We start from the raw sequence: 26,732 nt of genomic DNA, 5'->3' as shown, positions 1-26,732 counted from the left end.
TATTTATGATTTCTTTTGGAAAAACATAGAAATTGACTCACTCAGTCTTAAAACTTGAGAAAGTTACAATTGTCTTATCTAACTTACTTTCTCAGGAAACCAACCTTCAGAGCTCCCAGATGGTATCAAGGTACTGAAACTTACCACCAGAACACCACATCTGGACAATGAGATGCCAGATCCCTCACCCATTATGATTGCCTGACTGACCACCTGCTGCCTATTGACAAATTCCTCTTTCTTACCCCTAATTCCCATACATGGTTACATTTCTTCCCTGCTATTTCAATTCTTAATTTTAGTCCATCAAGGAAATGGGTTTGAGGTTGATATCCCATCTCCTTGGCTGCAGCACCCAGTTAAGGCCTTCTTCCCTGGTAATACTCATTGTCTCCATGATTGGCTGTCTGTGCCAAAAGCAGCAGAACCTAGACCGAATCCCTGGTGTTTTTATAACAGTTCCATATAAAAGTCAAGATTGTTTTGTTCTATATTTGTGAAAATGATATTGAAATTTTGATAGGAATAGCATTGAATCTATAGATATCTTTGCATACTATGAACATTTAAAGAATGTTGTTTTGATTGGTGAACACAGAATATTGATCTATTTATTTGTCTTCCTCAATTTCTTTCTACAGTGTTATATAGTTTTTATTGTACAGTTTTTTTCACTCCACTAGTTAAATTTGTTCCTCAGTATTTTATTGTAGCTACTGTATATAGGATTGTTCTCTTGATTTATCTGCTGGATATTTTTGTTGTTGTTGTTAGTGTATACAAACGCTGCTGATTATCGTATGTTGATTTTGTATCCTGCAAATTTTCTATATTTCTTTATTACTGCTAATATGCTTGGCTGGAATTTTTTTGGTTTTTAATATATAAAATTATGTCATCACCAAACAGTGAAATGTTAACTTTTTCTTTTCCTATTTGAATGCCTTCTGTTTTTTTCTTGCTGAATTGCTCTGATGAGGACTTCCAGCCTTATGCTGAATAGAAATGGCAAGTGTGGGCATTCTTGCCTTGTTCCAGATACTACAGGACAGGCTTTCAATTTTTCATCTTAAGTATAATGTCAGCTATGGGGTTCTCATATATGGCCTTTATTGTGATGAGGTGCATTTCTAATACATCTAATTTGTTGAGAGTTTTTATTATGAAAGGATGTTAAATTTTGTCATATACTTGTTATATATCTAATTAAATAATATGGTTTTTGTCTTTTATTTTTTAAAACTGTGATGTATCACATTTACCAATTTATGTAGCTTGAACCATCCTTGCATCTCCAGAGTAAATCCCCCTTGAGCATTGATTTTAATGTGTTGTTGATTAAATTTGCTAGTATTTAATTGAGGATTTTTACATCTATGTTCATCAAGAATATTGGTCTGCATTGTCTTTTCTTGCAATGTTCTTCTTTGACTTTGGTATCAAAGCAATGTCAGCCTTGTAAAAAGAGTTTGGAATTATTACCCATCCTTGATTTTTGGAAAGAGCTTCAGAAGAATTGATATTAATTATTTGTTAAATTTGTGGTAGAATTAAGCCATGGAACCATCAGGTCTTAGGCTTTTTTTTAGAAGAGAGATGTTGTATTACTGATTGAATGTTCTTATAGATATTTGTCTGTTCATATATTCTAATTCTTCATGATTTAGTCTTGGTAGGTTGTCCATCTCTGGAAATTTATTCATAAGCTTATTCAATTGGTTGGTGTATAATTGTTCATAGTAATCTCTTATGATTTCTGTGTTATTAGTTGTAATGTCTCATTTTTTATTTTTATTTTATTTGTGTCTTTCTTCTTTGTCTTAATTTGTCTAGCTAAACTTGTCTATTTTGTCTATCTTTTAAAAAGATATTTTTGTTATACTGATCTTTTGCATTGTTTCTGTAGTCCCTATTTTACTTACTTCTATTCTGGTCTTTATTATTTTCCTTCTTCTGCTACATTTGGACTGTATTATTTTGTTCTTCTAGTTGTTTAAGGTTTAATATTAGGTTGTTTATTTTAGATATTTCTTCTTTTTCATGTGATATTTATAACTATAAACTTTCCTCTTTGAACTACTTTTGCTGTACCACATAAGTTTTGGTATGTTGTGTTTCTATTTTTGTTTTTCTCAGACATTTTTAATTTTCTTTTTAATTTCTTTTTGAATTCTTAACTGTTCAGGAGCATGTTCACTAATTTCCATGCATTTATGAATTTTCCAAATTCTTCCTGTTATTGATTTCTCATTTTATAACATTTCAGTTGGAAAAGATACTTAATGTAAGTTTAATCTTCCTAAATTTGCTGAAGCTTGTTTTGTTCCATAATACATAATCTATTCTGAAGAATGTTCTGTTTGTACTTGGAAAGAATGCATGTTGGCTGTTGGCTGGGATATTCCATAGTCTTTAGGTCTGTTCGGTCTAAAATGTTTCAGTCCAAAATATCCTCATTAACTTTCTGTCGGAATATGTCCATTGCTGAAAATGGGATGATAAAATTTTCTACTATTACTGTACTGAAGTCTATCTCTCCCTTCAGATCTATTAATATTTGCTTTATATATTTAGGTGTGTCAAGATATGTGTATACTTACAATTGTTATATCCTCTTAATGAATTGACCCATTCATCATTATATAATATCTTCGTCTCTTGTTTTTTTTTAATGTCTATTTTTTCTGACATTAATGTAGTTAATTCTATTTTTTTTTTTTTGGTTTTCATTTGCAGAAAATAACTTTTTTCATCTCTTCACTTTCCATCTATGTGTATCCTTAAAAGGAAAGTCTCTTGTAGCTAGTGTATATTTAGATCTTGTGATTTTTGTTTTGTTTTGGTTTTGTTTGTGTTTTTGCTATTTTTTGCTTTTTTTTATACTTTTCCCATGGTGTTGAAGATATTGCTTTTTTATGCTTTCTTTTGTAATTTTTTTATTTTATATATATATGTATATATTTTATTATACTTTAAGTTCTAGGGTACAGGTGCACAACGTGCAGGTTTGTTACATATGTATACATGTGCCATGTTGGTGTGCTGCACTTTTTTATCCATTCAGTCACTCTGTGTTTTTATTGGATAATTTAATTCATTTACATTCAAAGTAATTATTAATAAGTAAAGACTCACTGTTGCCATTTTGTTTGTTGTTTACTGGTTGTTTTATAAATGTGTTCTTTCTTGCTTCCTCCCTTGTTGCATTTCTTTGTCATTTGATGGTTGTCTTTAGTTTGCTTTGAATCATTTCTATTTTTGTTTAATGCTTCTGCTGAATATTTTTCCTTTGTGTTTACCATGAGGCTTACATAGAAGATCTGATACTTATAGGACTATTTCAAACAGACAACAACTTAACATTGCATGAAACAACTCTACTCTTTTACTGCCCCTATTATACTTTAGCATTTTGATGTTAGAATTTATTTTAACTCTTGTGTCCTTGCACTGTCATCTACAAATCTGAGAAGAGGACTTCCTCTACTTTCCCTTTTAAGTGTCCCTTTTCAGAGATAGACCTTTACTACTTAGTTTAGTCTATTATTTAGGAAGGATCAACTAGTAACAACTTTGGACAGGCAGAGCATGTTCAGATTTCTCTAGTTGGCTGGGTTGCTGCCTTTGCTCTCATGTTGGTGAGCTTGTGGCTGAGCTCTGCTGACTGGTGAGGCCATTGACTTGGCTGTGCTATCAGGCAGAACTGCTGGGTACTGTAATTGCTTCTGGTCAGGCAAGTCACAAGATGTATTCCCTGGCCAAGCAATTTCATGCTTTAGAATCTGCAGCTGGGCAGGACTGCAGACTGAGACCTGAAGTTAGGTGGAGTCACTGCTTAAGAGAGACAGGAGCAGACGCTACGCTCCTTAGAAATGCATGATTAAAATGGTCTCCCTGTTAGGGTGGAGTAGTGTGGTGGGCCTTTGGCTGGTTTGAATCACTGACTTACCGAGTCTAGTATGTATAGCCCCTGTGCTTTTCCAAAATTTGTGGAGGTAGACATTTCCCTGCTTCAGTAGAGTTGTTGAGTGCACTTTTTGGCTGAGTGGAGCTGCTCCTTGACTTTCTGAGTCAAATCCATCTAGGCCCTATGCTTCTCTAACATCCACAGAGGTGGGAGATTTCCTGCCTGGGTGGGCCCATTGGGTGAGCTCTTTGGCTGAGTGGAGGTGCTGCTTGACTTCTGGGACCAAGCAGGACTAGTCCCTATTTTTATTCAAAATGCACAGAGATAGAAGTCTCCCTGCCTGGGCAAAGTTGTTGGGCAGGATTTTTGGCTGAGTGGAGCCTCTGCTTGATTCCTGGGTTATCAAGCCAATCTATTCCTTATGCTTCTCTAAGATGTAAGGAGGTGGAAGTCTTCTTTCCTGGGCATAGTTGTCTGATGGACTTTGATGGCTGAGCAAAGTCACTGCTTGACTTCCTAGGTCAAGCCAATCTAGCCCATTTGCTTCTCTGACATGAGAGGAGATGGGTGTTTTCCTATTTGTGAGGATCATTGTGGTGGGTTTTAAGGCTGGCTGGGGAGTCTAGAAGTTTACCAACTCAAGCTAGTTTGAACTTCCACTGTGCTTCTGAAAGCATCTAGCTTAGCTTTGCAAGTGGCTTAAAAGATTGGCTGGTATCTATGATAGGGCACCACAGAAACACAGAGATACCACCAAGATCTATGTGTGCTTGTCACTATTAACTCTGTCTCCTTTCTTTATTTCTTCTTGACTCTGAGTGGCCTAGCCATGCAGTTTCTCTCAATTTATTTTGTGAAGTGAGACTAAAGTGAGCTTCCTACAAACATCCTGGAATGCTGGAAACAATGGCTGACTGTTTCTGGTTCTCTTTTCTCTCTGCAGAAACTGTGAACCCAGGGAAATCCTCTTTGTCTGGTGTTGTGGCAACTTGGAGGAGGGGAAGCGAAGATGCAGTCAGAGTGAGACCATTTTTTTTAGCTCCCTAATTTGGATTTTATTCAGTTTTCTAGACCATATGAGTGTCTCGGGCATGTTTCCAAGTGTCAGGGTTTTCAACAGGACATTCTAGTCTGTGGATAGTTGCTAGTTAAACTTTCTGTGTAGAGGTTGGGAGTTCAGAACTTCCTATTCCATGATCTTGCTGACATCACTCTATACATTCTTGTGTATATGTGACTTGTGTGTGTGTGTGTGCATTTATGTGTGTGCATTTGTATGTATGATATCTTGCTGACATCACTGTATATATTCTTGTGTATATGTGATGTGTGTGTGTGTGTGTGTGTGTGTGTGTGCATTTGTATGTGTGTCGTATTAAGGCCTGAACTTCTTAGATATACAGTACCCAGAATGACAATGAGTTGAGAAATTCAACAAATGGCACATTGGTGCCTAAAAGAATGACATTTCTTCACATGAATAAGCCTTTTATTACTAGTGATATATCCTAGCTCATTATGGAATGAGGTCAATTAATATCATTTATTTGTATATATTTATTACTATTTCTGTAAAGATCAGAAGATTGCATGCAAACTGCTATAAATCAAACATATATTAATGCTGAACATAGAATCTTAAGTCAAGTGAAACTACACTCAAAGTAAACTAGAAATTATAAACATTCATCATTTCAAAATTAATGTATAATAAAATTACGACTCTTTTATACTAAACAATCTATGGATATCAATAGCAGAGTTCATGTTCATGGATAATTTATTTTAAAATTCTAATAAAAGCTGTGACCACAATAGTATATGTGTAACATCAATTAATATAAATGTATTAAAATATTTAAAATTATATTTTTAAAATTGGAGCTGTTTACATATACTGATTATACATTGAATCTTATTAATATACTTGACCTCTAAAATTTAGCCTTCTAATCCTGAAAATAATACATTTGATTATTTCACATTTAAAACTGATAATCATTACTTTCAAAATTATGACATAATTTTATCACTTACTATTTCTGTACAAGTATAACTATATTATATATCCTCACCACAATTTTAGTCTTTATTAATTGGCAGATGCTACTTCTAATATAATTTTCTAGGTAAAATAAATGAAAAAATAAAACTCTAGTGAATTTAAGAAAATATTTCTTAAAAAATCATAGAAGATAAAGGAGAAAATATGTCATTTTTGGCTCTCTTAAAACTTTCCTCTGGGTTCAAGTTACTATCTGATGTCATGTCCTTGCTCCAAATTAGCTTTATTTTCTCTCCTCTTTCTCTGTATTGTTATTATATATCATAACTTCGTATGTTATAAACCATACAATACAATTGTATGGCTACAGTCTTATGCAATTTTTTATTGTTGTAACTTAGTTCATAGAAAAAAAAGAAGAAAAATATGACTATACCGTATTTTATATCTACCTACATAGTACTCCTTACTGGTGCTGCCTACTTTTTCAAATAGATTCCAATTGTTCTCTGACATTATTTACTTCAATATTAGAAATAACTTTCAATATTTATCCGAAAGCTAAAGTGCTAGCTACAAATTATCCTAATTTGTTCATATTTGGTATTTTCATTTCATTTTCACTAAATCTGAAAGATAATTTTTCTGGCTATAGGGTTGTAGATTGACATTTTTTTCTCCTAGTACTTTGGCTACATTGATCTATTGACTTCTGAGCATGATTGTTTCTGAATAAAAAGTTAGTTGTTGATCTTACTAGGATTCCTTTGTATACAGTAAGTATTTTATTTCATGCTGCTTTAAAGACTTTATTTTATTTTCGGCTTTCAACAGTTTGAATATGATCTATCTAGGTATCACTCCCTTTGCATTGATAACATGCTTGTGGTTGGCTGGACTTCTTGTTTGTGCATAATGCCATTTTCCATCAAATTGGAGAAATTTCATCCATTACACTTGTTAATAATTTGCTTCACTTTTCTCTCTCTTCTGTCTATTTGGTATTCCCATTATGCATATTCAAGTTTGCTTAAAGCTGTCTCTTATTTATTTAAGGTTCTGTTATTTTTTTAAAATGTGTGCTTCTGTTTTTTTTTTTTTTTAATCATCTCTATTGCTGTCTTGAGTATTGAGCCTTTCTTCTGCCAGGTCTTATCTTTAGTTAAGCACCTGTAGTGAATTTTTCATGTCAGTGGTACTTAGTAACTACAGAAAATGAATTTTTAAAGAATATTTATGTATTAATATTTTCTAGTTGTGTAACTATCATACTTTTTGTATTTTTAATTTTTTAAGACAGTGTTTTTTGAGCATATTTACAATGACTACTTTGAAATATTTCTCTGCTTAGTCTATATTTGGACATCTTTTTTGTGTGTGTGAGATAGAGTCTCACACTGTCACCAGGGCTGCGGTGCAATGGTGTGATCTCAGCTCACAGCAAACTGCCCCTCAGGTTCAAGTGATTCTCATGCCTCAGCCTCCAGAGTAGCCAGGATTACATGCATGTGCTACCACACCTGGCTAATTTATGTATTTTTAATAGAGATGAGTTTTTGCCATGTTGGCTAGGCTGCTCTCAAACTCCTGGCCTCAAGTGATCTGCCTGCCTCAGTCTCCCAAAGTGCTGGAATACAGACATGAGTCACCATGTCTGGCCTATTCGGACATCTTCGAAACTAGTTTCTATTGCCTGCTTGCTTATTCCCGGATATAGGTCACACTTTGTGTTTCTCTACATCTCTCATGGTTCGTTTTGTTTGTTTTTTTTTCCTGAAAATTATATATATATATATATATGTAAATTTTATTTATTTATTTATGTTTTGAGACAGGGTCTTACTTTGTCACTCAGGGTGGAGTGCAGTGCCATGTTCATGGCTCACTGCAGCCTTGAACTCCTGAGCTTAAGTAATCCTCCCACCTCAGCCTTTCAAGTAGCTTGGACTACAGGGTTATGCCCCCATGTGCAGTTAATTTTTTTTGAAGAGACAGAATCTCACTATGTTGCCTAGGCTCATCTTGAACTCCTGGCCTCAAGAAATTCTCCCACCTTAGTTTCCCAAAGTGCTGGGATTACAGGCATGAGCCACTGCACCTGGCCAGAAAATTATATATTTTATATAATGTAACAACTTTGAATTCTCATCTCCCTGGAATTGTTGTTGATTTTTTATATTTTTTTATTTAGTTTTTACAATTACTTTATCCAACTAATTCTGTGAAGCATATTTTCTCTATTAAAAAATAGACAATGTACTTCCTTTACTTTCCTAATGCTGTTATAACAAATTATGACTAGTGTCTGTTTTAAGCTATTTTGTGTTGCTATACCCAAATATCTGAGACTGGTCCTGGAATTTATTTGGCTTATGGTCCTGGAAGCTGGGAAGTCCTAGATCAAGGGGCTTTGTCTTGTGAAGGTCTTCTTTTGGTGTCATACCATGACAGAAGGTGGAAGAGCAAGAGAGCACACATACAAGACCTGTGAGAGGGAGAGAGTAAGAGGGAGCCAAACTCACTTTACAGCAAAGCCACTCTCACAATAGCTAACCTACTTTATGATAATGACATTGAGATCCCTCATGACCTAATCACCTGTTATTAGGCCCCACCTCCTAACACTGTTATATTGGGGATTAGGTTTCCAACACATAAATTTTGGGGGACACATTCAAATCATAGTAGTGGCTTAGAACAACATAAAATAACATAAGTTAATTATGTTATAGTCTAGAAGTCAAAAGTGCAGATTCATTCTAATGGACTAAAATCAATTTGTTGGTAGATATGTGTCCCTTCTAAAGTGTCGAGGAACAGATCTATTTTCTTGCCTTTTCTAGCTTCTGTAGACTGTCTGCATTCCCTGGCTCATGGACTTACCCTTTACCTTCAAAACCAAAAGCATAGCATATTCCATTCTCTTAGCTATAAAATTGGGCTAAGTTTTAAAATTACTAAATTAATTTTATACTAAATGAATACTAAATCATCTGAAGTTATTTATAGCAAACTAACTGTACACTAAGTAAAAATGAAGCTTTTTTTGATAATGTTTAAAAATCTACAGATTTATAGTTTTTAAAATTCAGAAAATCACCATTCCTTGTTACAAATCAATAGAGATAAATCTCATTAATTTAAATTAATTTTCTCAATGATGGAGGTACAAATTTAAGTGTTAGACACAAAATATATATGTAAGGATCCTTTCCAGCTTTAGTATTCAGTGTAGCTAACTCTGAATGTAGAATTAATATTTTAACCTGCTAACTATCCTAATACCCAAGCATTTTGCCTGTTTTATAATAACATTCATTCTTCCAATACCAAAATTTAATTTAAACATATAATTCTGATAATTTTGAGCTATATATGACAGATTTATATCACTAGGTACATGTACGTACCACTTTAAATGGCACAAGAGCTTAAAATTTTGCTACAAGGCTCACAGCTTTACCAATATTTGGAAAGTTTGACAGCAACCTGTTTAAGTGCTGGTAGGGTTGCAAAATTCAAGGAGCTGTGAAAGTCTGAGATTGAAAGCATTTCCTATGAACTGCTGGGGGAAAATTGAGCAGTTTCACACACCTCAAATACAGAAAGGAATTGTAAGTCTTTGGTCACAGGCAATATTATTCAGTTGCTAAAATGCTTTTTTCTTTTAGCTGAAATGCTTTTATTTTTCAGCCGAGAGAGGTGGTTTTTCTAGTTATTTGTGCATTCACATTGCTATTATGAACTACTACGTCCTTTTAAAGAAATTTATATTTCATGATTAACATGTGTTAATATAAACAATGATTTTAAAGTTGCATTTAAATCTGTAAACATACTTCTTTTACTGGAGATGTGGAAAAATATTACATTTCCTTTTTATTTTCAATTTTTAGTAAAGCATTGAGATTCAGCTTGGAAATAAGCAGCATGCATTATCACGTATCTCTTCAAATCTTCTCTGGAGCATGCCTGCACATGCAAAATGTATTTTCCAGGGTACCCTTTGATGCATGAAGCACATGGGAAAGTGCTATTTAGCTCTTAGAAATTCTCTTCATGTTTTCTCTAAAGCACACAAGTTACAGCATTTCAATGTTAAATGTTTGGTATTGGTATAATAGTGTCTTTCCTATTAAAATAAAAAGCTATTAATAAATAAGTTCTTCTTTAAAGAAAAAAGTGAACAAAAAGCCAGTTTTAAAATCAGAGTTTGATGAATATTCTTTATATTTCCCAGAGACACAAATATGCTCATTTTGTAGTTCTAATGCAAAATCTGATCTATTGCTACTCACATGCTACATTACGAAGATGCCTGCATTTTTAATGCTGTGTCTATCTACCTACAGGCTAAAATGTATTCCTTAGAACTCAATTCGAATCTTAATTGTCTAACAATCTTTGAATGATTTTAATTTTTTTGGTACAAAGGGGACTAAAAATAGAGTTATAGACTGTACAGCCAACCTGTAATGAAAATGGTTTGTATTCCATGAAAGCTTATTTTAAATTTCTAAAGTATTTTAAATATGCATTGGTACAGCATATACAAATGTGGACATTCATAAGATCTATAGGAAATTGTGGATAATGTATATGTTGGTAGATTCTAAGTTTAGTAAACATTACCTGAAGATACAAATAATAATTTTCTGCCAACCACTGAATGTTGTGGGTGCTGTTTGTCATTTGTCTTTAATCAGTAGAATAATTTGAGTAAAAGACAGACTATCAGCTCTGAAAAAAGAGAAGCAAATAAATGCAAATTGCATTACCTAGCCCTGTGCCTGATGAATTTTGTCAATTTGCAGCTCAGAAAAATGGAGTGAAAGGTGCAATATGAAGATTCATTGTGTTGGAAAGGTATGGAATGATGTTTGTGCTGCCAATGTGGCTGGTGCTTAAGCAGCAAAATCCTAGAAAAGGGAACAGAGGAGTGACCCTCAAAATCTGCATGTAATTTTACTCTTGATTATTTTTTCCTGAATTCTAAGCTGGATGTATTGTACAGGGCAAAGTTTCAAGGCTGATATCACAAAGAAATAACTACAATCCTAAGAATTTTATTAGATGTCTCAGCATTTGGATTAGCCAGGAAGACAAAAGCTGGAGTTCCAGATCATCCGAGATGGAAAGGCTCTTGGAGTAAATAAAACTACAAGATTTAATTTGCTGTCATGCTAATTATTGAGAAACCCCACATTATTTTTAAGAATGCAATAAAAAGTTATTTAGGATAAAGGAAAATAATACTAAATGAAAACCTAGATCTGAAGATGGGAATGAAGAACACAAGAATTAGTAGGAGTATGGCCAATCTGTAACCTATTAATTGACCCCCTCAAACACCACCTAGATCTATGTACTTGGAGTTCCTATCATGGTACTGCTTGATGTAAAATAAAGGCTGCTGGCTGAGGCCTGAAATCCCAGCACTTTGAAAGGCCTAGATGGGAGGATTGCTTGAAGCTAGGAGTTTGAGACCAACCTGGGCAACATAGCTAGATCCCATCTCTACAAAAAATTTTAAAAATTAGTTGAGCATGGTGGCATATGCCTGTAGTCCCAGCTATTTAGGAGGCTGAGGTAAGAATATTGTTTGAGCCTAGGAGTTCCACGCTACAGTGAGCTATTATTGCACCACTGCCACTCCAGCCTGGGTGACAGAGTGAAACTCTGTCTCAAAAAACATTTAAATAAATAATAAAATAGATAAAAATGATTCTATACAGAATCTTTGTATATTGATAATTCTCACAGTCAGTCAAAGCTGAGAACTGCAGACGATTAATGGTAGGCGTTCAGAAACAGAAAAGGTTACTGTAGAGTGAAAGAGGTAACAAGTTAGGCTTGGAAGGACAGGTAGAGAGTACATGAGGAGAGTGTAAAGAAGACAAATAGTCAAAAAAAAACAAATTATAAAATAGCGATACTTTGGGTTTACAGGATTTTTAATACAATCTGAATAGAGAAACAGATTCACTCAGGGTAAAAGAACTGAGAGCTGGATTGGATTAGAGGCCCCATTGAGGAGTTATTTCTACATACAGAAATTCTGCATTTTCAATATGTATATCTTGATACTGTGAGAAACAGGTTTAATCAAGGGATTTTTTTAAAGCATATACTTATCAAAGACTGACTATAATCTGTATATATTTTGTGTTCCACCTACATATGCTGCTATTTTCATAATTATACACATTTTTGTAGTCTTTCCAGGCCGTTATAACAGAATACTACTGATATGGCTTGGCTCTGGGTCCCCATCCAAATCTCATCTCAAATTGTAATCCCCACATCTCAGGGAAGGGGCCTGGTAGTGGGGAATTGAATCATGGGGGGAGACTTTCCCCTTGCTCTTCTCATGATAGTGAGTGAGTTCTCATGAGATCCAGTTGTTTGTAAATGTGTAGCACTTCCCCCCACCATCTTCTCTGCCATAGTAAGATGTGTTTGTTTCCCCTTCATTTTACACCGTGATTATAAATTTCCTGAGGCCTCCCAGTCACACTTCCTGTTAAGCCTGCAGAACTGTGTCAATTAAACCTCTTTTCTTCATAAATTACCCAATTCCAGTAGTTCTTTCTGGCAGTGTGAAAACAGACTAATACAACTATAGACTAGGTGACTTAAAAACAAAAGAAATGTATTTTTCATAGTTGTGGAGGCTGAGAAGTCCAAGATCAAGGTGTCAGCAGATTCAGTGTCTGGTGAAGGTCATAGCAACTATCTTTTTGCTGTGTCCTCACATGGCCGAAGGAGGAAGGGAGCTCTCCAGGGTTTCTTTTAAAAGGGCACTAATCCCATTCTTGAAGGCTCTATCCTCACAGCCTCATCTAATCCTAATTACCTCCCCAAATCCCACTTTCTGAATACTATCACATAGGGTTCCAACATAGAAATTTTGGGAGAGCACAAGCATTCCATCTATGACATTCCATCCCTCCACCAGCTCCCCAAAATTTATGTCTTTCTCACATGTTATCAATTCAAAAGCTAAATCCAAAGTCTCACGTAAATATTGTCTAAATCAAGTATGAGTGAACTCAAGGCATGATTCATCCTGAGGCAAATTGCTCTCCAGCTTGAGCCTGTGAAATCAAACAAGTTGTATGCTTCCAAAATACAATGGTAACACAGGCATGAGAGACATTTATATTTTAAAAAAGATAAACAGAAAAGAAGAAATGAGTGACACATTCCTGAACAAGTTGAAAACCGAAATCAAATTGGAATTTGAGTTGACTCAAATCAAATTGGAATTTGAGTTGACTCAAATCAAATTCTATTAGATTGAGGCTCAAGACCCTGGCTCTACGTTCTGTACTCTGGACCTGATGGGGTTGAAGGTCCTGCCTTTCAGACCTGCGTACGGCAGAGGTCCTGCTGCTTGGACCAGGCTTGGATCAAACAACCAGAGCTCTGTCACGGAGCCCTCACCCCCGTGGCTCTAGGCAGCACTTCCAGATTTGATAACAGAAGAGGAAAAGGCCATATGGTGAGGAAAATAGGGGAGCTAAAACAATGAGATGTGGTATGGTAGGTTGTGGAATGAGGAAAGCCTCTGAAGCTGGAAAAGGCAAACAACATATTCTATCCTGAACCTTCTAGAGAAATTATCAGCCTAGCTCGCACCTTTATTTTAGCCTGGAAGACTTACTTTGAACTTCTGTTTTCTATGACAATAAAAAATTATCTGTGTTGTGTTAAGCCATTAAATATGTGGTACTATGTTATAGTAGCCATAGGAAACTAATAAAAGTGCCTTAAAAATTAAAACACATTATGCACTGTTAAAAGAGAAACATTTAAAGTAGAAGAACACACTAAAATTTTAAGTAAAATAAGAAAATATATACTATGCAATATGGTTTGGCTCTGTGTCCCCACCCAAATCTCATCTTGTAGCTCCCATAATTCCCAAGTGTTGTGGGAGGGACCCAGTGGGAGTTGACTGAATCATGGGAATGGGTGTTTTCCATGCTGTTCTTGTGATAGTGAATAAGTCTCATGAGGTCTGATGGCTTTAAAAAATGGGATTTTGCCCATTCAAGCTCTCTCTCTTTGCCTTCTACCATCCATATAAGAGGTGACTTGCTCCTCCTTGCTTTCCTCCATGATTGTGGGGTTTCCCAAGCCAGGTAGAACTGTAAGTCCAATTAAACTTCTTTCTTTTGTAAATTGCCCAGTTTCAGGCATGTCTTTATCAGGAGCATGAAAATGCACTATCAGGAGCATAATTGATATGAGTCGAGTGGGGCATTGCTGAAAAGGTACTCCAAAATGTGGACACGACATTGGAACTGGGTAACAGAGGTTGGAACAGTTTGGAGAGCTCAGAAGACAGGAAAATGTGGGAAAGTTTAGAATTTCCTAGAGACTTGTTGAATGGCTTTGCCCAAAATGCTTATAATGATATAGTCAATAAGGTCCAGGCTGAGGTGGTCTCAGATGGAGATGAGGAACTTGTTGGGAACTGGAGTAAAGGTGACTCTTGTTATGTTTTAGCAAAGAAACTGGTGGCATTTCACCTCTGCCCCAAAGATTTGTGGAACTTTGAACTTGAGAGAGATGATTTAAGGTATCTGGCAAAAAATATTTCTAAGCAGCAAAGCATTCAAGAAGTGACTTGGGTGCTATTAAAGGCTTCAGTTTTATAAAAGAAACAGAACACAAAACTTCAAAAAATTTGTAACCTGACAATGTGATAGAAAAGAAAGTCCCATTTTCTGAGGAGAAATTTAAACTGGCTGCAGAAATTTGCATAAGTAATGAGGAGCTGAATGTTAATCATTAAGACAATGGGAAAATGTCTCTAGGGCATGTCAGAGACCTTACAGGCAACCCCTGCCACCACAGGCCCAGAGTCCTAGGAGGAAAAAATGGGTTTCATGTGCTGGGCCCAGGGTCCCTCTGCTGTTTGCAGTCTAGGAGCATGGTGCCCTGTGTCCCAGCCACTCAGCTGTGACTAAAAGGGACCAAGGTACAGCTTGAGCTATTGCTTCAGAGTGGAAGGCCCAAGCCTTAGCAGCTTCCACATGGTGTTGAGCATGCGGGTGCACAGAAATCAAAAACTGAGGTTTGGGAACCTCTGCTTAGGTTTCAGAGGATGTATGGAAATGCCTGGATGTCCAGGATGAAGTTTGTTGCAGGGGCAGGACCCTCATGGAGAACCTCAGCTAGGGCAGTGCAGAAGTGAAATGTAGGGTCAGAACCCCCACACAGAGTCCCTACTGGGGCACCACCTTGTGGAGCTGTGAGAAGAGAGCCACTGTCCTCCAGACCACAGAATGGTAGATCCACAAATAGCATACACTGTGTACCTGGAAAAGTCACAGACACTCAATCCCAGCCAGCCCATGAAAGCAACCAGGAGTAAGGCTATACCCTGCAAAGCTGCAGGAGCAGAGCTGCCCATGACCATGAGGATCCATCTCTTGCATCAGCATGACCTGGATGTGAGACATGGAGTTGAAGGAGATCATTTTGAAGTTCTTGGTTTTTTTTTGTTTTGTTTTTTTTAAGATGATGTTTTCCTCTTGTTGCCCAGGCTGGAGTACAATGACGCAATCTCGCTCACTGCAAACTCCGGCTCCCAGGTTCAAGCAATTCTCCTGCCTCCGCCTCCTGAGTAGCTGGGATTACAGGCATGTGCCATCAGGCATGGCTAATTTTTGTATTTTTAGTAGAAATGGGGTTTCACCAGGTTGGCCAGGCTGGTCTCAAACTCCTGACATCAGGTGATCATATCCCCTCAGCCTCCCAAATTGCTGGGATTTCAGGCGTGAGCCTCCGAGCTGCATTTTGGAGTTTTAAGATTTGACTGCCCTCTTGGATTTTGAACTTGCATGGGGCCTGTAGCCTCTTTGTTTTGGCCAATGTCTCCCGTATGGAATGGCTGTATTTACCCAGTGCCTGTATTCCCATTGAATCTAGGAAGTAATTAATTTGCTTTTAATTGTACAGAATCATAGGCAGGAGGGACCTTCCTTGTCTCAGATGAGACTTTGGACTGTGGACTTTTGAGTTAATCCTGAAGTGAGTTTAGACTTTGGGGACTATTGGGAAGGCATGATTGGTTTTAAAATGTGAGGACATGAGATTTGGGAGGGACCAGGGGCACAATGATATGGTTTGGCTCTGTGTCCCCACCCAAATTTCATCTTGTAACTTCCATAATTCCCACATGTTGTGGGAGGGATCTGGTGAGAGATGACTGAATCATGGGAGCAGGTCTTTCCTATGCTATTTTTGTGATAGTGAATAAGTCTCCCGAGATGTGATGGCTTGAAAAAAATGGTAGTTTGACTGACAAAGCTCTCTCTTTGCCTGCTGCCATCCATGTAAGATGTGACTTGCTCCTTTTTGCCTTTCTCCATGATTGTGAGGCTTCCTCAGACACATGGAAATTAAACCTTTCTTTTGTAAATTTCCTAGTCCTGGTTATGTCTTTATGAGCAATGTGAAAATGTACTAATACACTATGAAACCACAAAAAAGGAGAGTTCAAATCAGAGGACATGCCCTGCAAAAAGAGGATTATTTCTTAATGAATTAGGGTAATTCGTTAGGAATAAAAATCATTTTAAATGTATCTAGTATCAAATTTGAAATGCATAAAGCTAACATTGATAAAGGAAAAACCAACCCTCAATTATAGTTAGCAATTTTAATATATCCTTCTCTGTATTTAATAGAGCAGTAGTAAAAAATAAATAAGGATAGGAAGATTTGAACAAAACTATTAATAACTTCACCTTATCGGTTTGCATTGAACATAATATTTAAAACATATACTTTTCTCATAAGTACATGTTAAGGCACATAGCAATTCTTACTAAATTTTCAAGACTTAAAATAATACAGAGGAAGTTTCCTGAATTAAATTGAAAATAAATAATATTTATAAGTGGAAAATTTTAAAAAGTTCAAAATTAAGCATAGTATTTGTTAATAAATCATAGGCCAAAGAAGAAATTAAAATAAAAATTAGTGACTGTTTTGACCTTAATAATAATAAATAAAATAATATTAAATAATATAAAAATAATAAAAATAACAATGTTTTGAAATATATAAGAAGCAACCAAGTTTTGAAACATGTAAGATGCAACCAAGGCAGTGTTAATAGTGATTTTTATAGTCTTAAGTGCCTGTATTATGAGGGAAGAAAGATTGACATTTAAGAAATTATATTTTTATCTCAAGAAGGTAGAAAAAGGAAAAGACTCTTTCTCTATATGGTCTTTGTAATTTATTATAAAATGCTATTGAAATGCAGTGGGTGCAAGTATAATCTGTCCTATAAATGGGTCAGTTGTGTCAATAAATTTTAACAGTCATACAATAAACAAAATTTAAGTCCCCCAGATGGTGATTAAGTATAAAATTAATGAGAAAAGCAATAAACATTTTTATGGAAGAAAACATAAAAGCTTATCTTGAAGAATTTATGTTATGATAAAATTAATTTAAACATGTCAAAAAAGCGCCAACTTTAGAATAGAATATTTATAAATTGAGTTTCATTAAAATAAAGGACATGTGTTCATCAAAAGATAATGTCAAGAGAATGAAAAGGTATAATCTACAGAACAGGAAAAGGGTTTTTCTTTAAAATACAGGGTTTTGTTTGTTTGCTTATTTATAAAAAGCATTCCCACAAATTAACAATATAAAGAAAAACATTTAAATTTTACATCCCAAATTGGACTAAAACATGGCAGAAACATATGCAAATAGGCATGTCATACATGCAAAGATGGTTAAACACCATTATTATTCATATAAATGCAAATTTTAAAATGGCGAAATACCACAGTACCTAAAATTATAAGGATAACGCCCAAGTGATGGTGGTAAGAATGTGGACCAAATGGAATTCCCATACTTTCCAGATGAGAGTATAAAGTAATACAGCCCTTGTAGAAATCTGTTTGAGTGTGTTTATTAAACTGAACATAAACAACTGAACATAAATAGTGTTTAGAGTATACTAAAAACCAGTAATTCTTCTTCTTATTAGATATATTCCCAGAAAAACAAGAACTGTGAATAAACAGCAAAAGTGGGAGGAGATATTTCACAGCACCATTATCCACAATAGCATCGAACTGAAAGTAATCCAATTCCACATCAACTATAGCATGATTTTTTTAAAGTGAAATATTCCTACAGTAGGATACTACACATACACAATTCAAAACAAACTATAAATCATTTAATATAGATGCATTTCACAGAGTTAATATTGAAAACAGAAATGCCCAACACAGGACGTACATTTTATTTACATGAAGTTCAAGAGTAGGTAAAACCTGAAGCTATGATGTTAGAAGTCAGAATACTGGATACAATGTGTGGTTACCAATGTACAAACTGGTACACAGAGGCTATTTTGCGCTGATAATGTGCCATAATTTTATAAAGATTTAGTACATTCCTCCTGGTCATGATTATTTCCACATCTCATAACTGTAATGTTTTTTCTAAATTATATATTTTTATAGGTTACCACAAATGTTTGATATATATACATATATATAAATGTCACATAACAGATATACAGATGTTTTGATATATGCATACATTGTGAAATGATTAAATCAAGTTAATTAGCATATTCATCTTCTCATATACTCATTTTTTTGTGTTGAGAACATTTAAAATCTACTCTAGTAGCAATTTTTAATTATACAGTATGTCATCATTAACTATTGTCACCACATCTCCTCATTCTCATCCACCCTAACCCTGGGAACCATCATTCTATTCTCTATTTCTATGAGCTTCACATTTCCAGATTCCACAGATAACTGAGATCATATAGTATTTTTCTCTTCACCTGGCTTATTTTACTTAGAATAATATGAAGTTCTAAATGAGAAATTAGTTAAGATAAAGAAACAAAAGGTATACAAATTGGAAAGAAAGAAATTAAATTATCTCCCTTTGCAGATGCTGTGATCTTGTATATAGAAAACATTAAAGACTCCATGAAAAAGCTGTCTGAATTAATTCAGCAAAGTTTCAGGATACAAAATCAACTTACAAAAAGCAGTAGCATATTTATACAGTATAATCTACCTGAAAAAGAAATCAAGAACATAATCTCATTTACAATAGGATAAGAAATACATAGGGACAAATTTAACTAAGGAAGTGAAAGAACTATATACTGAAAACTGTAAAACATTGACTACAGAAATTGAAGACAACAGGAAAAAATTAAAAATCTAATGTTGATGTAGTAGAAGATTTAATAATGTGAATACGTTCATACTACCCAAAGAGATCCACAGAGTCAATGCAATGTCAAATTCCAATGACATTTTCATAGAAATAGGAAAAACAATTGTAAGTCTATACGGATCTGCAAAAACCCCTAATATCAAAAAAAACTGATCAACCAGAACAATGGTGGATGGATGTATCACACAACCTGATCTCACAATTTACTACAGATTTATAATAATCAAAACAGCATGATATACATAGAGATATCTATAACATGATAGAAAGCCAAAAATAAAATCCATACATCTACAGTCAATTTATGTTTAAGAAAGATGCCAAAAACACAGAATGAAAATAAGTATTTTTCATGAAAGAGAAAGACTATGAAAGAACATAACAATTGCTACGTATGTCAATAATTTAAGTGTTTATAAAATAAAAAAAGATAATAGATCAAAATTGTAATAGTAACTCAATCCATCTATGTTGTAGGTAATACCATTTTCCCATTTAACATATAAAAAACTAAGGCATAGGAATATTAAATATAGATGAGATATATAGTCAGCGGCAGAGTCAGGATTTAAACTGTTGCATTTTGGTGCTGGAGTCTATGCTCTTAGCTATTATTTGCTCTTTCCTTTCTCAGTCTTCATTTCCCTTCCATTTTACTGTCATTCAAGTTTCATTTAGAACTATTTCACAATTTATATTTTTCTGTAATCTTGTTCATTTTTATGCCAAATACGCTAATGTATTGTTATCAAAGATGAATATTTAATACAATTTTAAGTAAAATTTTTAGTATCTTTATATCTGCCTCCAGTTTTATCATGTAAATACATTGTATAAAAATTACCAGCTACATAAAGTTGTGATAAATTTACATTTTTATTAATAATATTAGTAGCAATAGTAGTTGAGATACTTCATAATATGGTGGAAATGTTACTTTATTTAAATAACACTTTGTGGTCTTTCTACATACTATTTTGTTACACTCTATTACAAGTAAATTTACTAAACGTCTTTTGTCACTCCTTGATATACTTTTCGTTGCTATTAGCTGTCTGTACTGTGCAGCTCACAGAGCGATTATAGTATTCCCATTATTTAATGTACATGAAGGCAGTCATGATTATGATTGTGAGTAGATCATGATTATGGCATAAAATATAACAACTTATTACAAATACTATTATTATATTAAGAGCTGCTTCATTATAGTAATCTTGATTATGAATGGAGATATTTTCTTTTTAATAAAAAATATTATACATATATATGTGTATATATGTGTGTGTGTGTGTATGTGAGTGTGTGTGCGTGTGTGTGTGTGTTTTATAATACAGATAGGGTCTCACCATGTTACCCAGGCTGGTCTCAAACTCCTCAGCCCAAGTGATTCTCTGGCCTCAGCCTCTCAAATTGTTGGGATTACAGGCGTAAGCCATTATGCTTAGCATAGTATTATCTTTTTAAATTCCCGTTTCTCCTCCAACATTATCTTCAAAACCAGTCAAAGGGATTGGTACTAGATCTGACAGGGCATGGTAGAACTGAATGGGAGGAACTTACCTTGTCATAGCTCAGATGAAGATTAGATGACAGCTGTGCAAGCTAGGGCCCTGATGTATAATTTGACATATACTTTTAACTACAAAATTTTTTAATGTCATATTATTGTTAAATATTTCACAAGTTTCTCTGTCTCAGAAATAAATAAAAAAAACTTTTCTAAAGAAGGACTATTTCAACCTGGGGGACCCATTTTTAAATTATTTAAGCAAAATTAATTGGTAGATAATTTATAAAAATAAGAAATCGTCAAATTCCTTAGGGGTGGAGTTTGGCAGAGAAGTGATAAGTGAAGAACTCACAATTGCCTTGGATTGTGCATATACTAAATTTTTATTAGAGTCATATTATTCTGATAGCTATGCAGGAGATTCAAATGTCTTACCACTGGAGACAGTCATAAATAGGCAATACAGCACAAGTTTTCACATAATGAGCATAAATATCCTTCCAAAGAGAAAATCATAATCTAGCCTGCTCTAATCAAGTCTGCATTGTTGCATAAAGAATGCTAAGCAGCTGAGTATGAGGAAATTTTGTTGAAAGAAAACCAGAGATAAATTATTTTGTAATGTTTTTCAAAAACCACTTTCATTCCTAGCTATTCAGCTAAAAGTAATTATAAGTTATAATTTATAATTAAGAGAGTCTGTATTCTTACTAATAAAATTCTGAAATGAATTAAAATAACTGGAGATGTATCTTCTTTCTATACAGTCAAATCTAAAAAGATTTTTGTGAACTTCCAAATGTACTAATAAATATTGACATCTTTTAAAGCATAGAATTTTTAATATTAACTTCTCATTTGTATAAAGGTAAAAAGGGATATTTAATGTGAAGTTTACTCTTTTATTCTAAAACAAAAATAGATATCTGACTCCAGAAGATACTTAGCAGAATTTTATTTGTAAGCGTGGTCAGAATTTAAAAAAAAAAAAAGCCCTTTAAACAGTAAGAGGAAATCTCTCCTATGAGAAAATCTTTCTCTTACTCTCATTTTTTTCATGGACATCAAAATTTGATATCTACAGTAGTTGGACAGATATTAACTTAGGCCTTTTCAAATCTCTCTTTCAAAGAAATATAACAGAAAGCCACATGTTGTGTACCTTGAATAAATTTATATTCTTGTTAAGCCTCTTTCAGGGAAATAGATGTTACTAACATTTATCCTGCTTATAGATAAGTTAAATGAGGCACAGGACACTTTATTTCATTTACACATTTAATAAAAATTAGAAATCTCTGAGGAATCTGGTGAGGTGGTAGAATCAAATCATATTTAGTAACTAAAATTGAAAAGGTATAGTAATTTACTAGATATAAGGATTAAGAGAATATAATAGTTTATGGTATTCAGAATTGGGACTGGGGCGGTTGGGTTTTTTGTGGTTTCATTAACCAAGAGAGGAAATAGAGGATGGGAAAGCATGATATTCTTGATGAATTCAAAGGTTGAGTGAAGAGTGCTTTGTTTATGTGAATGCCTCAATGAGTTTTAGTGCTGCCATGACATCAAGTAACAAGATTATGCCCAAATGTGACATTCCTTTTGACACCAGTTAGCATCCACAAGGGCTGGGTAGTGAAGGATCAGGAAGCTGGGGGTAAATTTGATTATGTAAATGTTGACTTTGCAATGCCAGCAAAACTTCTAGTAAAGATGACCAGACAGCAGCTGTTCAAGGGGAATATTACAATACTTTCCTTACATTAAGAGCATAGGCTTTGTCATTACACAAACCTGTGTGTGAAAATAAATAGCTTTTGATATGATTCAATTACTTAACCTCTTTGAAACTCGATTTTCTCATCTCCAAAGAGAAAAATAGTAGTGCCTAGTTTAAAAGGTAATGTGAAGTTCAAATAAGAAAATAAATTTAAAGTACTAATGCCATATATAAACTTCTAGATCATAGATTTAGATTGCAAATGGTTATTGACTTATGAATCATCATAACATAGTCATTGTTTGAAGTCGGAGAGTAAATGAGGTGATTAAGAGGGAATACGGGTTTAAATTCTTGGAAAATCAGGCTCAATATTTTGGTCTGAGCTGAAGAGGATTCTACAAAGGAAATCAAAAAGAACAAAAATTGAGTTAGAAAAAAACAATTAAGAAATAAGTAACTGGGAAGGACACTATTTTATGAGTGTATAGATATACACTTTAAACATATATTTATAATGTTTAAAATTAATATATAAATAAATATATATACAAATTTTATATACATAAATACTAATACATATAAAATATTATATATAATATTATATATATATAAAAAATGTTTAAAGTGTCCCAATTTTACAAAGCAGCCAAGCAATAAAGGCACTGAAAATAGGGAATCCAGTGAAAGGAATTAAGGGATCACTGGTGTCATTTGCCAATGGATTGCTTTGAATGGAAAGCAGCTTGCTGTATGTTAGAGAATGGATAAAACGGAATAGGTAATGAGTGGAGTCTTTTCTATGAAAGAACTTGGATACAAAAAGGAAGAAAGAATAAGGTGATGATTGGAGAGAGGCACAGCATGAAGATGTGGTTTTTGTATGTACTCACAAGTGTGATATCAGAAGGGAAAAGTTAAAAGTCCAGTAAAGTGAGATGATGCTACTCAGAATAAAAGAGTACATTAGACAAAGATCACAAATGGAAGTAGTAAATAGGAGACTAGCAGAGAGAAGAATTCTTACATTTCACCTAGGATATATTTATATTTATGGGAAGATTCACCTCTTTTTTTTTTTGTTTTGCCTCTGAAGCAAATCATCTGCTGAGAATGTGGGTTATGAAGAAATATAAGAAGCTAGCAGAAAGATCAGTGTAGTTCTACCACTCTCAAGGAAACTTACTTATATATATTGAAATTTACTTATTTTAATATTAAATCTATAATAACTATGATATTTTAATAACTATCACGGAAATCAGTTCCAGTTTGAATCATTGTTCCTGAGGAAAAAAATGATAAATTTTATAAATTACTTATTATAATTTTGAATTAACCATTTAAGGCTTTTCTTTTCCGTATCATAGACTAACAGACTCTATTGGTTCATATCTATTGGCATTAAATAATGAGGTGAACTGAACATATTCAGGTAAACTCAATTCAATTATTAATAAAATAATATGTATCTTACAAAAATTAGTGGATTGATGAATATAAATACATTCCTCGGTGCATATTTTGTAGTTACAAATGTATTTTTGTGATTGTTTTCTTGTAATTTTTAATTCTATATTCTAATCCTAATATGTTGATCAGGTCCAAACCTGATATTGAAAACAAAATACAAGATGAGCAGTATCTTCTATTGAACATTATATATTTATTAATATTTCCAAATTTAGGCAGGCATAAATGAACATTGTAATATTGAAACATACAGATCTGACAATTGTTTTACTGAAACATAAATAACATAATATGTTTAGTTAATTAGTCAAAATGAAGCATGTTTTTCAAAAAGACATACTGTGAAGCACAGAATAAGACAAATTCAGTTAGAAATATCCACTAATGCAAAAAGAAGCTGTTTGAAATTCTGTTATAACCTTTTATTTTTATGCAATTCCAATTCTGTCACCAAATCCATACATATGATTCCTCTCTGTCAAGGCATACACAAACACCTGAGCATGATTCTAATCCACTCTATAGCAATTGCAATAGATATGTTTTTAGAAATAGTTATGAATGGCACCTATATTTCTCCATTAAACCAGCCAGTTCAAAAGTAAATTTGGGTTGAAATATTTATTGGACTGCTTAGCTTTTAAGAAACAAAGCACAAAAATTTTATGTTTATGTATACTGGCCTGTAACACTGCAGTTTTTTTTTAATATTTGATTTTTTTTCTATGTATGATACCCAGGGATTTATTTTTGTTTGCTATATTGGTATATGTTTTGAAAATATATTTTCCAGTTTATTGATAATAATAAATACAAAGGGACCACCTTTCTGTCTTACTAAAATTATTTTTATCAGAAATCATGTTTTACGGTATTTAAAAATAGTGTAATCTATAAAATTTTTAAAATGTTAAAAATAAATTCAGGTTACTTTTGCCAGTTACCTTTTGTTTATTTCTAAAAACAGAAAAAAAGTATTTAAATATTAATCTAAATAATCTGCAGATTATAAATGATGATGATAGACATGGATTTCTGGATACCCAAACGTTAAGTACAAAAACAGTTATTACATATTTATGAATTTTTAAAATCTGCTCAAATATAACACTGTATTCAAAGAAAATACCTTTGTCTACATTAGGGATGTTTTTAGAATCCCATGATACATGTTTGTTCTGGCTTAAAATAACAAACTGATTGATGGGCTATCATTATGTGAGTCAGGGAACTGGAAATCCTAAACACTTATTTCCCTCTTTTCTTTCATTGTTAATTTCTAAATCGGCAACTTTTCAACAATTGTGTCTAAAATGACATAAAGCATAATATTTGCAAGGGTTAAAACAAGGACATTCTTTGAAATTGTATGTTTACATAAGAGGAAGTTTAAAATAGAATTACTATCTTTCACTGCATTATAATCTCCTACCTCTAGTACTTTTTATATGTATTTTGTTATGTAATATTTGGTGCTGATTTTTATTTAGATACTATTATATGGAATTAGCAATAATTCCATTTAGTTCATTTTAACTATGGAAGGGAGATAGAAGAAATAAAGAATAAGTTATCATTAATTTTTTTTTTTTTTTGAGACAGTGTCTCACTTTGCCACCCATGCTGGTGTGCAGTGGTGCAATCATGGCTCACTGCAGCCTCGACCTCCTGGGCTCAAGTAATCCTCCCACCTCAGCCTTCTGAGTAGCTGGAACTACAGGTGCACAACACTATGTCTAGCTAACTTTTGTATTTTTTGTAGAGATGAGGTTTCATCATATTGTCCAGGCTGGTCTGAGCTCAAGCGATCCACCCTCCATGGCCTCCCAAAGTGCAGGGATTACAGGCGTGAGCCACCGGGCCCTGCCTAGTTATCATTCTTGTAGAAGTCTGAGCAGGACAAAAGATAGGAAAGCCTCTTTTGTTCCATTGCGGCCAAAATTTGGAGATCAGAAGAGTTAGGGAGGCCAATCAGGAGCTAAGTTTGTTTACCTTGGCATCCATATGATTTGGGCTCTTTTTTTTAGTGCTATTTATAAGTTCTGCATTATATATAGATAAGATTTTTCAATTTTCCTGGAAAAGCAAACATTTTTAGAGCAGTTATTCAAAGTACCTATGTTGTCCCGAAATATAGACATTCTTTTAATTTAAAATGTGTGTTATGGGAAGAAAAAAAACTGACTTCTATGGCTCTCAGATTCATTCTACAGTTTTTCATAACATATTCACTAAGAAGTAGTTATGTATCCACAGCTCTGAAAACATTTTATTAGAGCTAAGTAGTTCCAGAGACATTTGTCAACTTAATCCCCAGGACAGTGACTAAGCTGCTCCCCCTTACTGTGGTGTAAAATGTCCCCTGGGATCCTGGGTCCTAAAACCATGTACCCTATAAGCTCATAATGTGAATAATTAGAGTTCTATAGTGAAGATAAATGAGCTTATAAATGAGAAGAATATTCTCTTTACTGAGAACTATACTAGAAGTCTGGGTTTAGAACATTCCTTGAAAAGCCAAAATATTAGAATGATGCCATGGTTTCAGCCACTCTACAGCATTGCAAAAAGGCTAGAATTTTTTCTATAATTGCAAAGAGACTCAGATTCTTTCTTTGAGTAATTTATAATTTATTAAGGTATATAATTAAATAATACACATACCTATAAAGTCAGTGACAGATATATACAAACACATAAAATATGCAGTAATAAACCTTTTAAATAAATATAGTTGCAGTAGGCCAAGTAATTAATAAAGCATAAATAACAGAGGACAATAATTATTCATTTGTTATTAGTATTGATAATAATGTTATTGACAATGAGACATTGTAATAAAGTTGGAAAAATT

General features: G+C 33.8%; 1 long non-coding RNA gene across 1 annotated transcript in view; it reads left to right on the top strand.

Moving 5' to 3' along the window:
• The first annotated feature begins 4,847 nt into the window (after positions 1 to 4,847).
• Positions 4,848 to 26,732, top strand: part of LOC105377422 (uncharacterized) — a 31,548-nt gene continuing 9,663 nt past the window's right edge. The window contains exon 1 of the long non-coding RNA XR_939196.1: positions 4,848 to 4,927. This is a non-coding gene — a long non-coding RNA (uncharacterized LOC105377422). The remainder of the gene's footprint in view (positions 4,928 to 26,732) is intronic.

Source organism: Homo sapiens, chromosome 4 (genome assembly GCF_000001405.40).
Source record: "Homo sapiens chromosome 4, GRCh38.p14 Primary Assembly".
In the NCBI taxonomy this organism is placed as follows: domain Eukaryota; kingdom Metazoa; phylum Chordata; class Mammalia; order Primates; family Hominidae; genus Homo; species Homo sapiens.
Note: the sequence above shows the minus strand (reverse complement) of the source record. Positions and strands in the feature narration are given on the sequence as shown.